Source organism: Homo sapiens, chromosome 12 (assembly GCF_000001405.40).
Source record: "Homo sapiens chromosome 12, GRCh38.p14 Primary Assembly".
NCBI lineage: Eukaryota > Metazoa > Chordata > Mammalia > Primates > Hominidae > Homo > Homo sapiens.
In genome coordinates this window covers 646,580-662,181 of record NC_000012.12, presented here as the reverse complement: position 1 = coordinate 662,181, position 15,602 = coordinate 646,580, and the positions used below count along the sequence as shown (strand labels likewise).

Below are 15,602 nucleotides of genomic sequence, written 5' to 3'. Positions count from 1 at the left end.
TTCCCTGGCTTATCTCCTGGCTGGCCCTTCCTAGTACATTCAGGTCTCAGCTCAAATGTTACTTCCCCCAGGAGCCCTCCCCTGACCAACCTCTTCACAGGATGCCTCCTCCCCAATTTGTCTTTATCATTTGTTTAATTTCTTTCATAGCACTGCTCACCACCTAAAGTTACACTGCTTATTTATTTAGTATGTATTGCCTGTCACTCTCACTAGGACACAAGATCTCTGAGGGCAGGGCCTCTCCTGTTTTATTCACTGCTGCAGCCCGAGTGCATGAGGCAACTCTTGGTACACGGTCATTGCTTTAGAAAACATTTGTTAAATGAATGAGTTGAGGAAGCCATGAGTTGGAGAGGCTCTGAGATAGGAATAAGGTCACCTAATTGGCCCAAGACCTCCAGTCCATGTCTTCTGTCCCTAGTATGTGTTTTCTTCTTACTTCTAGTTCTTGCCTCTATAAGATCCTTGGTTGTTAAGGAAATTGTGTTGCTGCTTATTTTCATTCTCAGAAGAGCAAGTTTCTTATGTGCTGATGGGTTGAACGATCCAGAGTTACAGGCTAAGGACTCTGCATCTGAACCAGAGGTTCAGAAGGAAAGAGGTGGTGGGAGGAAGGAGAAGGAAATGACTGGCTAGGCTGGATGAATGTCTCTCTCTAGCAGGTAACTGAGGTGTTAGTGTACCTTTCTCTTCATTTGTCATTCACTCTCTTCTAATATGCTATTTAATTCTTGTATCTTACATTTTCCTTTGCTCAGAAGGTTATCCATTATTTTCTACAATTTATTGTCCACCTTTGGCTGGGCACGGTGGCCTACGCCTGTAATCCTAGCATTTTGGAGGCTGAGGCAGGAGGATCACTTGAGCTCAAGAGCTAGAGATCAGCCTGGGCAACATAGCAAGACCCTATCTCTATTAAAAATTTAAAAGTAATTAGCTAGGCATGGTGGCATGCACCTGTAGTCCCCACTACTCGGGAGGCTGAGGTGGGAGGATTGTTTGAAGCCAGGAGTTCAAGGTTGCAGTGAGCTACAATCATGCCATTGCACTCCAGCCTGGGCGGCAGAGCCAGACCCTATCTCTAAAAACAAAACAATAACACTCTTTAGTTAAAACAATGTTTCCCCAAAATGTGGTACAATTATCACCAATGGGTGGTAAAGGTACATCAATGGCTGACAGCTTTTTATTATAATGTTTATTTTTACAGTTTTTTTTGAGATGGAGTCTCACTCTGTCGCCTAGGGTGGAGTGTAGTGGCAAAATCTCAGCTCACTGCAACCTCCGCCTCCTGGGTTCAAGTGATTCTCCTGCCTCAGCTTCCCAAGTAGCTGGGATTATAGGCATGTACCACCACACTTGGCTAATTTTCATATTTTTAGTAGAGACAGGGTTTCATCATATTGGCCAGGCTAGTCTTGCACTCCTGACCTCAAATGATCCACAAGCCTCGGCCTCCCAAAGTGCTGGGATTACAGGTGTGAGCCACCATAGCTGGCCATCTTTATAGTTTCAGTATTCATTAGAAAGAGCATAACAGGGCCGGGCTAGGTGGCTCACGCCTGTAACCCCAGCACTTTGGGAGTCTGAGGTGGGCGGATCACGAGGTCAGGGGTTGCAGACCATCCTGGCCAACATAGTGAAACCCTGTCTCTACTAAAAATACAAAAATTAGCTAGGCGTGGTGGTGTACGCCTGTAGTCCCAGCTACTCAGGAGGCTGAGGCAGGAGAGTTGCTTGAACCTGGGAGGCAGAGGTTGTGGTGAGCGGAGATCGTGCCACTGCACTTTTGAGACTCTGTCTCAAAAAAAAAAAAAAGAAAAGAAAAAAGAAAGAAAGCATAACAACTTATCAGACCTGTGATTCCTTTTTTTTTTTTTTTTTTTTTTAACAGACAGGATCTTGCTGTGTCACACAGGCAGGAGTGCAGTGGTGCAATCTTGGCTCACTGCAGCCTTAACCTCCTGGGCCCAAGTTATCCTCCTGCCTCAGCCTCCTAAATAGCTGGGACCACACATGTGCACTACCATGCCCAGCTAATTTTTTTTTTCTTTTTTTAGTGATTGGGGTCTCACTGTATTGCCCAGGCTGGTCTCTAACTGCTGGTCTCAAGTGATCTTCCTGTCTTGGCCTCCCAAAGTGTTGGGATTACAGGCATGAGCCACATGTCCAGGCAATTCCAACATTTTTATTGCTTAGGATGAGCCTCAAGTAAGTGGCAGGAAGTTTTTTGACACCTTTATACAGTCCTTGCACATGACCTGGGCATACCCTCAATGTCTTAGTAACTGTTTCTGTCTGACCTGTTCAGAAGTACGGCAGCCCTGGGTGACATGGATCACAGGTGTGTGTGCCCGCACCTACTACTGCACTGAGACGTTGAAACCCTGAACATGGCACAACTGAAGTTTGGGAAACTCTAATCTAAAATAACATTAACTTGAGCCTCTATAATCAATGTTGCAAATGTATCTCCAGGTCAAGACCTGTGAGACTGGGATGGGTAGCAGCAGCACAGCTGGCTGTGAAGAGTGGCGCACAGCACTCAGGGCAGGTGGCCTCCACCAGCTGGATGCCTGGAGCTGCTCCTTCTGTTCTATGGCCTGTGGCTGTGGCCTCCAAGCCTCTGCCCTTCTCCCTGCCTTCACTGGTAGCCCTGCCAGGGAGCTAAGCCTGCGCATCTCCCAGAGTCTGGATGTGTGAAAGGTTGAGGATAATCCCTTTCTTCCCCTTCGAGCCAGTGTTGCAACCCTACCCCCAAGTACAGAGTTTAAGCCCCTAGCCTGGCTCCTTCCCAAAATGCAGCTCCTCTTGGGCTTCCAGATTCCCCAGGCAGATCCAGTTATTGGCCCCTTTTTTTCCACCTGTGCTGCATGTTGATGGAAATGTGAAGATGATCTGCCAAAAGAGGAACTAAGACTTGTCCAAACCGAATGCAAATTCAGTATAGCTCAGGTTAAGTAGAGCGAGATACAGATAGAATGAGATGGGAGTGGAGGTAAAAACACTTATGAATAGAAGAAGGTCTATAGGCAAAGTACTCTGGGAGTGTTTTTGTTTGTTTGTTTGTTTTATTGTTTTTAAAGACATATATATATATAAGCAGTTATATATTATATATATATTATATATAATATATAATAGCAGTTATATATAGAGAGAATAGCAACTATATATGTAATAGCAGTTTTAGGTTCATGGCAAAATGGAGAAGGAAGGCCAGAGATCTCCCATATAGCCCCTTGCCCCACATGCATAGACTCCCCATTATCAACTTCCTCCACCAAAATGGTACATTGTTTTTTTACAACCGATGAGCCTTACATTGACACATCATTATGACCCAAAGTCTACAGTTTACATGAGGGTTCACTCTTGGTGTTAAACATTCTATGCGTAATAACATGTTTCCACCGCTATAGCATAGTATAGTATAGCATAGCATAGCATTAGCATAGCATAGCATAGCATAGCATAGCATAGCATAGCATAGCATAGCATAGCATAGCATAGCATAGCATAGCATAGCATAATAGAGAAGTTTCACTGCCCTAAAAATCCTCTGCATTCTGCCTCTTCATTGCTCCTTCCCCTCTGAACCCCTAGCAATGACTGACTTTTTGTTTTGCCTTTTCCAGAGTGTCACATAGCTGGAATCATACAATATGTAGCCTTTTCAGATTGCCTTCTCTCACTCAGTAATGGCACTGAAGTTTCCTCCATCTCTTTTCATGGCTTGATAGCTCATTTCTTTTAAGTACTGAATAATATTCCAGTGTCTGGATGTACTACTGTTTATTTTATTCACCTACCGAAGGACATCTTGGTTGCTTCCAAGTTTTGGCATTACGTATCATTCTGTATAAAGCCACTCAGCTGGGCGCAGTGGCTCACACCTGTAATCCCAGCACTTTGGGAGGCCGAGGTGAGTGGATCACTTGAGGTTAGGAGTTCGAGACCAGCCTGGCTATCGCTAACATGGTGAAACCCCACTTCTACTAAAAATACAAAAATTAGCCAGGCATGGTGGCAGGTGCTTGTAATCCCAGCTACTCGGGAGGCTAAGGCAGGAGAATCGCTTGAACCCGGGAGGCGGAGGTTGCAGCCAGCTGAGATCGCACCACTGCACTCCAGCCTGAGTGACAGAGTGAGACTCTGCCTCAAAAAAAAAAAAAAAAAAAAAAAAAAAAGCCTGTGTAGGTTTTTGTGTAAACACAAATTCTGAATTCATTTGGGAAGATACCAAGGATTGCAATTGCTGGATCATATGGTAAGAGTGTGTTGAGTTTTGGAAGAAACTGCCAAACTGTCTTCCAAAATGGCTATACTGTTTTGCATGTCCACCAGCAATGAATAGGTGTTCCACATTCTCATCAGCATTTGGTATTGTCAGTGTTCTGGATGTTGGCCATTCTAGTAGCTGTGCAGTGATATCCCATTTTTGTTTTAATTTGCATTTCCCTAGTGACATAAGATGTGGAGAATCTTCTCATATGCTTATCTGCTACCTTTGCATCTTCTTTAGTGAGGTGGCTGTTCAGGTTTTTTGCCCATATTTAGTGGGGTTACTTATTTATTTATTTATTTTTTGAGAAGGAGTCTCGCTCTGTCTTCCAGGCTGGAGTGCAGTGGCCCGATCTCAGCTCACCGCAACCTCTGCTTCCCGGGTTCAAGCGATCCTCCTGCCTCAGCCTCCTGAGTAGCTGGGACTACAGGCATGCGCCACCATGCCCCGGCTAATTTTTGTATTTTTAATAGAGGCGGGGTTTCACTATGTTGGCCAGGCTGGTCTCAAACTCCTGACCTTGTGATCCACCCGCCTCAGCCTCCCAAAGTGCTGGGATTACAGGTGTGAGCCACTGCGCCCGGCCTTATTTTCTTGTTGTTGAATTTTAAGATTCTTTGTCTGTTTTGGATAACAACTGTTTATTAGATGCATCTTTTGCAGATATTTTCTCCCAGTCTGTGGCTTGTCTTATTCTGTTGACATTGCCTTTCACAGAGTAGAAGTTTTCAATGTTAATAAAATCCAGTTTATTATTTCTTTCATGGATTGTACCCTTTGGTATTGTATACAAAAAGTTGTAAGCATATTCAAGGTCATCTAGATTTTCTCCTATATTATCATTTATGAGTTTTATAGTTTCGCATTTTACATTTAGGTTTATAGTCCACTTTGAATTAATTCTTGTAGAGGGTGGAAGGTCTGTGCTTAGATTCATATTTTTACACGTGGATGCCCGGTTATTCTGGCACCATTCGTTGAAAAGACTATCTCTGCTACATCGTATTGTCTTTGTTCCTTTATCAAAGATCAGTTGGGTCTATTTCTGGGTTCATTATTCTGTTCCATTGATCTATTTGTCTATTCTTTGTCCAAAACACATTGTCTTAATTATTGTAGCTTTACAGTAATTTTTTTTTTTTTTTGAGACAGAGTCTTGCTCTGTCACCCAGGCTACAGTGCAGTGGCGCAATCTCGGCTCACTGCAACCTCCACCTCCCAAGTTCAAGCGATTCTCCTGCCTCAGCCTCCCGAGTAGCTGGGATTACAGGGGCCCGCCACCACATCTGGCTAATTTTTGTATTTTTAGTAGAGATGGGGTTTCACCATCTTGGCCAGGCTGGTCTCGAACTCCTGAACTTGTGATCCACCAGACCCTACCTCCCAAAGTGCTGGGATTACAGGTGTGAGCCACCATGCCTGGCCGCTTTACAGTAATTCTTCAAGTCGGGTAGTGTCAGTCCTCTGACTTTGTTCTTTTCCTTCAGTATTTTGTCACCTATTTTGGGTTTATTTTATTTTATTTTATTTTTAGACAGAGTCTCACTCTGTCTCCAGGCTGGAGTGCAGTGACGTAATCTTGGCTCACTGCAACCTCCGCCTCCTGGGTTCAAGTGATTCTCCTGCCTCAGCTTCCCAAGTAGCTGGGACAACAGGTGCCCACCACCACGCCCAGCTAATTTTTTGTATTTTTAGTAGAGATGGGGTTTCACCATGTTGGCCAGGATGGTCTCGATCTCTTGACCTCATGATCCACCCACCTCAGCCTCCCGAAGTGCTGGGATTACAGGCGCGAGCCACTACGCCCTGCGGGTCTTTTGCTTCTCTATATAAACTAACTATACAATTAGTTTGTTGATATTCACAACTGATTTTGATTGGGATTGTTTGAATCTATAGTGAGTCCTCTTATCCATAAACATGGAATATCTATCTATCTATTTATTTTATATTTATTTATAAATTTATTTATTTATTTATTAAGATGGAGTCTTGCTCTGTCACCCAGGCTGGAGTACAGTGGCACAATCTCAGCTCACTGCAAACTCCGCTTCCCAGGTTGAAGCAATTCTCCTGCCTCAGCCTCCTGAGTAGCTGGGATTACAGGTGCGTGCCACCATGCCCAGCTAATTTTTGTATTTTTAGTAGTGACAGGGTTTCACCATGTTGACCAGGCTGGTCTCGAACTCCTGACCTCAAGTGATCCACCCGCCTCAGCCTCCCAAAGTGCTGAGATTACAGACGTGAGCCACCGCGCTTGTCCCCTTCATTTATTTAGTTCCTTGATTTATTTAATCAGTTTTGTAGTTTTCCTCATAATAGATATTGTACATATTTTGTTAGATTTATACATAGGCATTTCACTTTTTTAGGTGCTAATGTAAATGGTAGTGTTTTAAGTTTCAGATTCTACTTGTTCAGTGCTGTTTCATAGGAAAGTGATTGCATTTTATGTATTAACCTTGTATCCTGCAACCTTGCTATAATTGCTTATTAGTTCCAGCAGATTTTTGGTCAGTTCATTTAGATTTTCTACATAGACAATCATGTCATCTGCAAACAGAGATAGTTTTATTTCTTCACTCCCAATCTGTAGTCCCTTCATTTCCTTTTTCTGAAGGAACTACATTGCATTTACTAGGACTTCCTAGCAAAGACTGGGAAACTGCTAAGACTTGTTCATACTGAATGCAAATTCAATGTATGAAGCAGTGGTGACAGGAGACATCCTTGCCTGTTTCTAATCTTAGTGGGAGTGCTTCTACTTTCTTATCATTAAGTATGATGTTAGTTATAGGCTTTTTGTAGATATTCTTTATCAAATTGAGGAAATTATCTAGTGTACTGAGAGTTTTTATCATGAATGGGTGTTGAATTTTGCCAAATACTTTTTCTACATCTATTAATATGATCATGTGATTTTTCTTTTTTAGTCAGTTGGTGTGATTAATTACATTAATTGATTTTCTTTTGTTTTTATTTTATTCTCTTTTTTTTTTTTTGAAATGGAGTTTGGATCTTGTTGCCCAGGCTGGAGTGCAATAGTTGATCTCAGTTCACTGCAACCTCCACCTCCCAGGTTCAAGTGATTCCCCTGCCTCAGCCTCCCGAGCAGCTGAGATTACAGGCGGGTGTCACCACGCCCGACTAATTTTGTATTTTTAGTAGAGACAGGTTTCTCCATGTTGGTCAGGCTTGTCTTGAACTCCCAACCTCAGGTGATCCACCCACCTCGGCCTCCCAAAGTGCTAGGGTTAAAGGCGTGAGCCACTGCACCTAGCATTAATTGATTTTCAAATGTTGAACCAGTCCTGCATACCTGGACTAAACCCCAGTTGGTGTGGTGTATAATTCTTTTTTTTTTTTTTTTTTGAGACGGAGTTTCACTCTTGTTGCCTAAGCTGGAGTGCAATGGCATGATCTCGGCTCACCGCAACCTCTGCCTCCCGGGTTCAAGCAATTATCCTGCCTCAAGGTCCGGAGTAGCTGGGATTATACGCATGTGCCACCATGCCCGGCTAATTTTTATATTTTTAGTAGAGACGGGGTTTCTCCATGTTGGTCAGGCTGGTCTCGAACTCCTGACAGGTGATCTGCCCACCTCGGCCTCCCAAAGTGTGGGATTACAGGCGTGAGCCACCGTGCCTGACCCCATCCATTTACTTTTAATCCGTATGTGTCTTTTTTTGTTTGATACAAGGTCTTACTCTATCACCCATCACCCAGGCTGGAGTGCAGTGGCACCATCTTGGCTCACTGCAGCCTGAAATGCCTTGGCACAAGCAATCCTCCCACTTCAGCCTCCCAAGCAGCTAGGACTACAGGCACAAACCACCACACCCAGCTATTTTCTTATTCTTTGTAGAGATGGGGTCTCACTATATTGCCCAGGCTAGTCTTACTCCTGGCTTCAAGTGATTTTCCCATTTCAGCCTCCTAAAGTGCTGGGTTACAGGGGTGAGATACCACACTCAGCTGATCTATATGTATCTTTATGGTTAATGTGAGTTTCTTGTAGACAACATACAGTTGAGTCTTCTTTTTGTGTCCATCCTGACAATTTCTGCCTTTCAATTATGCACTTAGACCATTGACATTCAAAGTGATTACTGATATAGTTGGATCTACCACATTTGTTACTGTTTTTCTATTTGTTACCCTCATTCTTTGCTCCTATTTTTGTCTTCCACTTTTTTTTTTGCCTTTGGTGGTTTTAACTGAGCATTTTATATGTTCCTGTTTTATCTCCATTCATAGTGTATCAGTTGTACTTTTTTTTAACTTTTTTTAGTTATTGCCCTGGAGTTTGCAGTTTACAAGTACAACAAATCCAAGTGCACTTTCAAATAACACTATACCATTTCATGGATCGTGTGAGTACCTTATGATAACAAAACAATCCTAATTCCTCCATCCTGTTCCACGTATCATTGCTGGCATTCATTTTACGCACATATATGTATACATATATATGTGTATACATCATAAAACATATACATAAGTATACATAATCAAATATATTGTTGATATTTTGATTTGTTCATTTTGAACAAACTGTTAGATCAATTAAGTATAAGAAACAAAATATGGCTCACGCCTGTAATCCCAGCACTTTGGGAGGCAGAGGCGGGCAGATCACGGGTCAAGAGATCAAGACCATCCTGGCTAACAAGGTGAAACCTCGTCTCTACTAAAAATACAAAACATTAGCCAGGCATGGTGGCGGGTGCCTGTAGTCCCAGCTACTCGGGAGGCTGAGGCAGGAGAATGGTGTGAACCTGGGATGTGGAGCTTGCAGTGAGCCAAGATCGCACCACTGCACTCCAGCCTGGGTGACAGAGCAAGACTCCATCTCAAAAAAAAAAAAAAAAAAAAGAAACAAAATATTACTTTGTATATCACAAATGTATGAATTTTTTTCTTTTTCTTTTTCTTTTTTTTTTTTTGAGACAGAGTTTTGCTCTTGTTGCCCAGGCTGCAGTGCAATGGCGTGATCTCGGCTCACTGCAACCTTCGCTTCCCGGGTTCAAGCGATTCTCCTGCCTCAGCCTCCCAAGTAGCTGGGTTACAGGCGCCTGCCACCACGCCCAGCTAATTTTTGTATTTTTAGTAGACATGGGGTTTCACTATATTGGCCAGGCTGGTCTTGAACTTGTGACCTCAAGTGATCTGCCCACCTCAGCCTCCCAAAGTGCTGGGATTACAGGCATGAGTCACCACGCCTGGCTGAATTTTTTCATTTGTTAATTTTAAAAAAGAATAAGAAAAAAAGTTTTTCTTTTACCTTCATTGATTCTTTCTTTGATAGTTCCCTTTTCTTTACATAGATCTGAGTTTCTGACCTATTTCATTTTCCTTCTTTCTGGAAGTCCTGGCCTCAAGTGATCTGCCTGCCTTGGCCTCCCCAAGAGCTGGGATTACAGACATGAGCCACCATGCCCAGCTTCATTTTCCTTCTTTCTAAAGAACTTCTTTCAATATTTCTTGCAAGACAGAGCTACTAGCAACAAATCCTCTTAGTTTTGTTTGTCTGAGAAAGTCTTTATTTCTCCTTCCCTTTAGAGGGATAATTTTGCAAGATAGAGAATTCCAGGTTGGTGGATTTTTTTCCTTCAATGCTTTGAAGATTTCACTCCACTTTCTTCTCCGCATGTGTCTGAGGAGAAATCAGATGTAATTCTTATCTTTGTTCTTCAATAGGTAAGATTTTTTTTTCTTGTGTATTCTTTCAGGATTTTTTCTTTGTCTTCGATTTTTTTGTAGCTCTTTAGGTATTTATCCTGCTTGATTTTTTCCTGAGTTTCCTGTATCTATAATTTGGCATCTAGCATTAATTTGAGAGAAATGCTCAGTCATTATTGTTTCAAATATTTTTTCTGTTCCTTTCTGCCTCCTCCTTCATTTATTTCCATTACACATATATGATACCTGTTGTAGTTGTCCCACAGTTCTTGAATAGTCTGTTCTATTTTTCTCAGCCTTTGTCTCTTTGCTTTTCCATGTAGGGGCCTTCTATGAGATATGCGTAAGCTCAGAGATTCTTTCCTTAGCCATGACCCGTCTACTAATGAGCCCATCAATGGCATTCTTCATTTCTGTCAGTGTTTTGACCTCTGGCGTTTCTTTTTGGTTCTCTCTTAGGGTGTCCGTCTCTCCACTTACGTTGCCCATCTCTTCTTGCGTGCCATCTGCTTTATTCGTTAGCACCCCTAGCATATTCATCATAGTTGTTTTAAATCCTTGGTCTGATAAAGTCCAATATCCCTGCCATGTCTAGTTCTAATGCTTGCTCTTCTCTTCCAATTGTGGTTTTTGCCTTTTAGTATGCCTTGTAATTTTTTCTTGATAGGTATGTATAAGGCAAAAGGAACTGCCATAAATAGGCCTTAGTATGTGGTGGTAAAATGTGAGGGGAGGGGAAGTGTTCCACAGCTCTATGGTTGGGTGTCAGTCTTTCAGTGAGCCCATGCCTCTGGACTGAACATCACAAATGCGTCTAGTACCCACACCTTAGGTGGGTCAGGACAGCTAGAGTGCGCTGCAATCGGATCTTCCCCTTCCCCCAGGTCACCTGGGCTCTAATAAAACCCCAGCAAAGTTTGGCTCTGGTTAAATAGTTCTCCTGAGGTCAGGCCTTGTTAAGAAGAACCAACAGAATGCTCTGGCCTATTTTGAAATGTTTCCTTCTCCCTTTCCCCTGCCAGAAGCATGAGGAGATTTTTCTCTGACATTTACTATAGAACTTGGGCAGCTCCTAGAGGTAAAACTCACAAAAGCATTTCCTCCAATGCCCACCCCCATGACTGGGTCACCCTGGAGTTTTTAACTCTCAGACTTGTCCATTCTGAGCCTCCAAGCAGTTTGTTGACTACAGTTCAGGTTTTCCTAGCTGGCACTAACTCCCGAGGAGAATTGCCCTTGTGAGTCTGCCCCAGTAAGCCATGACTCCCTGTATGCACCTGTCTGTCTCACTGATGTTAGGGGCAGTGGTTTGCCCTATGTCTTTCCCACTCTTTTGGATCCAAGAAGAGTTGTTGATTTTTCCGTTTCTTCAGCTTTTTACTCGTTAGGATAGAGTGGCTAATTCCAAGTGCCTTACATGCAGAATCAGAAACCAGAAGTCTCCAGAAGTATTTTCAAATGGAAGTTCCAGAAAACCATTTGATACTATAATATGTGTCAAGATATCCCTATACAGACTGAGTCTCACTGTGTTGCCCAGGCTGGAGTGCAGTGGCGCGAACTCGGCTCACCACAACCTCCGCCTCCCGGGTTCAAGCAATTCTCCTGCCTCAGCCTCCTGATTAGCTGGGACTACAGGCACCCGCCACCACGCCCGGCTAATTTTTGTAATTTTTGGAAGAGACAGGGTTTCACTATGTTGGCCAGGCTGGTCTCGGACTCCTGACCTCGTGATCCCCTAGCCTTGGCTTCCCAAAGTGATGGGATTACAGGCGTGAGCCACCGCGCCTGGCCAAGAGATTTTAAAATGACTTGCCAGGAGCAGTGGCTTACACCTATAATCCTAGCACTTCGGTACATCACCTGAGCTCAGGTACATCACCTGGTACATCACCTGAGCTCACTTTGAGGCCAGCCTGGGAAACATAGTGAAACCCCGTCTCTACTAAAAATATAAAAATTAGCCAGGTGTGGTGGTGAGCGCCTGTAATCCCAGCTACTCAGGAGGCTGAGGCATGAGAATCGCTTGAACCTGGGAGGCAGAGGTTGCAGTGAGCTGAGATCACACCACTGCACTCCAGCCTGGGGAACAAAGTGAGACTCTATCCCTTGCCTCCAAAAAAAAAAAAAATCTACTAATCTCACTTCTAGAAACAGCCTAAGAAAATGATCGAAGTTGTGTTTAGATATGCAAAGATGTTCATTGAAATATTATTCATAACAAAAAATGGGGAGTCCAATAATGAAGAAATGGTTAAAGTTTGATATATCTGTAAATAAATATGGAACAATTTTTTATGTTTTGGAAGAATACTTAAGGGAATATCAAAATGCTAATCATATGTTAGGTTAAAGAAGTAAGATACACAAGCTCATAAACACTTCATCTCAATTTCCTTTAAAAATCATATAGAATAAACATGTGTAGGAAAACTATTGGAAAAAATAAACCAAAAGGTTAATACTAGTTATTTCTGGATTATGGGTTTATGAATGATTTATTTTCATCTGTTACTTTTCTTTTCACTTTTTATTTCCTTTGCACATTTTCTACTAACCCATATATTATATTTAGAATAGAAAAAAACTTGTAGTTTAAAAAAGAAAATTAGAGAAGCAGGTGTGCCTATATGCAAATGAGTAGATTTCATGGGCTACTATATATATATATATATATATACACATATACACACACACATATTCACTGTTTCTGATTACCATAAAAAATAAACAGTTTATACATGACTATTATGTATAAGTAGGCATCTCCTTTTAAGTGGCTGTTCCACTTTTTAATAGTTTTACATAGGACAACTCTTATTTTTTGTATCTGAATATGCTCCAAGACTAGAAATGTGACATCCCAGCTGGGCGCGGTGGCTCATATCTGTAATCCCAACACTTTGGGAGGCCAAGGTGGGCGGATCACCTGAGGTCAGGAGTTTGAGACCAGTCTGGCCAACATGGCAAAACCCCGTCTCTACTAAAAATACAAAAATTAGCCGAGTGTGGTGGCGCATGCCTGTAATCCCAGCTACTCTGGAGGCTGAGGCAGGAGAATCACTTGAACCCGGGAGGCGGAGGTTGCAGTGAGCCGAGATCGCGCCACTGCAGTCCAGCCTGGGCGACAGAGACTCCGTCTCGAAAAAAAAAAAAGAAAAAGATAAAATCACTTGAGATAGATAGATAGATAGATAGATAGATAGATAGATAGACAGATAGATAGATAGATAGGTGGATGACTTCTTTGAAAATATAGTCATTGAATGAGCTGCAAAGGATGAATAGGACTTTGACTAGTGCAAGAGTATTCTAGTGCCGAAAACAGTGTGAACAAAAAGCTGGAGGCAGGAAAACACAGGGCATATCTGGGGAAGGATGAGTAGATAGATTTGTTTAGACTCTAAGGTGAAAGGAAGAGAAAAGTGAGAAATAGGATTGTAATGGTAGGTTGGAATCAGATCATGATGGACCCTGAAGGCCAAATTTGGTTTATTAGACTAATAGGCCTTCCAGGTCCTGTGCAGAAGTCCAACTCTGATGGGAGTATGGGGTGCTTAGATTTGCAGGTGACAGCCAAATGTTTTATTCCTTGTCCAGGCCTTTCCTGGACCTCTATCTGAGAGCCCAGGTGCCTCTGCAGAGCAAAGAACACTCATGAACACGACCATTCATTCGGTCAGTTCATCCCCGATGAACGGGTCTAGCCCTTGTTTTAAAGAGGAAAAAATCAAGGTCCAGAGACGTGTGATGTTTAACTGGGCCTTAGAATCTTCATGGCATTGGGTATCTAATGAACAACAGACAGACTACTCAATAAATATGTGTTTGTTAGGCCGGGCGCAGTGGCTCACGCCTGTAATCCCCACACTTTGGGAGGCCAAGGCAGGCGGATCATCTGAGGTCAGGAGTTTGTGACCAGCTTGGCCAACATGGTGAAACCCTGTCTCTACTAAAAATACAAACAAAAATTAGCCAGGTGTGGTGGCGGGTGCATATAGTCCCAGCTACTTGGGAGGCTGAGGCTGGAGAATCGCTTGAACTCAGGAGGCGGAGGTTGCAGTGAGCCGAGGATCACACCATTGCACTCCAGCCTGGGTGACAAGAGTGAAATTCCATCCAAAAAAAAATGTATTTGTTGACTAATTGATGTATCCAATTTGCCATGCACCGTGAAAGGGTCTTTCAAACACATGATGCAAATGAATCCTCCCAACTACCCAGTGGTCATTACTACACCATTAATGGATGCAGAAGTGAAGCTCAGGAAGGTCAAAGACAAGACCACAGAGCCTGGAAGCGGCAGGGCAGGACTGAAACCTAGGTTTTCTTTTTGCTATACTCGAACTCAGTGGTTTTCAAATGTGGTCCCTGGAACAGCAGCACCCCATCACTTGTTAGAAATGCAAATCCTTAGACCCACCAAATCAGAAACCCTGGAGATGAGGGTTTCTGCAATCTGTATTTTCACAAGTCCCCTGGTGATCCCGATGCATACTAAGGTCTTACTTAAATCCGTTAAGTGACTGATGTATGGGAGAAATGGAGACTTCAAGACTGGCTCCTTTCTCCCAGGTAGTCCTGTAGCACCTGCACTAGACCTGGAGTAAGCAACGCACCCAGAGTCACGCAGAGATGTCAGCAGATCAAGGGGCCCAGGTTGGAGCAGGTGCCAGGGAGGAGGAGCTGCCAGTCACTTTCTAAGAAGACAAAGGTTCTAAGCCTCTCAAGTCCAAACTTCTTGTTTCAGTGTGGGGCACCACCACACTGTCAGTGCAGGGCACCACCACACTGTCAGTGCTACTATGTGCATGCCACATACTTGTGGGATTTACAGCCACTATGATGAGAGGTGCTTTGGGATTACTCCAACCTAGGAAAGAGACGTGTTTGACAGGCCCACCCCCACTAGAAAGATTAAGCATAATGAAGGGCTCGGGTGAAGATGAATGTCTGTCTCCTGTCACCCAGCCTTGCGTCTCAGGAGAGGGAAGAGAGCTACTGAAGGCAAGAGTGGGCTTTCCCACGGGGCACCTGGGCACAGACACCTGAGGGATGGGGGAATATGCCTTCTGCAGGGGTGGAAGAGAAGGAACAGAGGGGCCTGGCACCCCTGAACAGTTTGAGGGCCTTGGGAACAGGGGTAGGGAGGGCAGGGGGCAATGTGGAAGTCAGGTGGGAGAGAGTGCCAGCCCAAAGTCTGCAGCATCACCTCCAAGCTTCTGTGAAAGAGCTCCCAGTATCCTGGAACAGCGAGTCTCTGAGCTAGAAGTTGACCAGGCTCCACGCCAGGAGAATGGAAAACCCCTGCGCCTCTCCAGAGGTGAACTCCCTGTTTCCACAACCCTTGTCCAGGGAAGCAGGTTTGTTTACCCTCAGGTTTGAGGGGTCAGGCTTTGGTCATTTTGTTTTGTGTGCTTGTCTTGTGCCTCGGGTGTGGAGTCCAGAGACCAATTGTCTGCCCGGATACACATTTTCAGTCCTAATCTGTACACAGCCTCACTCACACAACCAGGACCTTTCCTCTTCAGCTGCAGTTTCCTAGAAATGTGACCGCCCAGTGTTATGATTCAAACAGGGCTCCGTCCCAAGGGATAGTGGGGCAGGGTGGGGTTGGTAGCATTGGATCTTT

The 15,602-nt window shown here is 43.6% G+C and overlaps 1 protein-coding gene across 1 annotated transcript in view, besides 1 other annotated feature; it reads left to right on the top strand.

Annotated features, from left to right (window-relative positions):
- NINJ2 (ninjurin 2) overlaps positions 1-15,602 on the top strand; it is a 99,150-nt gene that overhangs the window by 1,264 nt on the left and 82,284 nt on the right. The gene's annotated exons all lie outside the window — the stretch shown is intronic.
- Positions 15,305-15,599: an enhancer, noted in NCBI's record as "tiled region #6322; HepG2 Activating non-DNase unmatched - State 1:Tss". NCBI's record gives its function as "activates a minimal TATA promoter and a strong SV40 promoter by Sharpr-MPRA in HepG2 cells {active_cell/tissue: HepG2}" and the evidence as "EXISTENCE:reporter gene assay evidence [ECO:0000049][PMID:27701403]".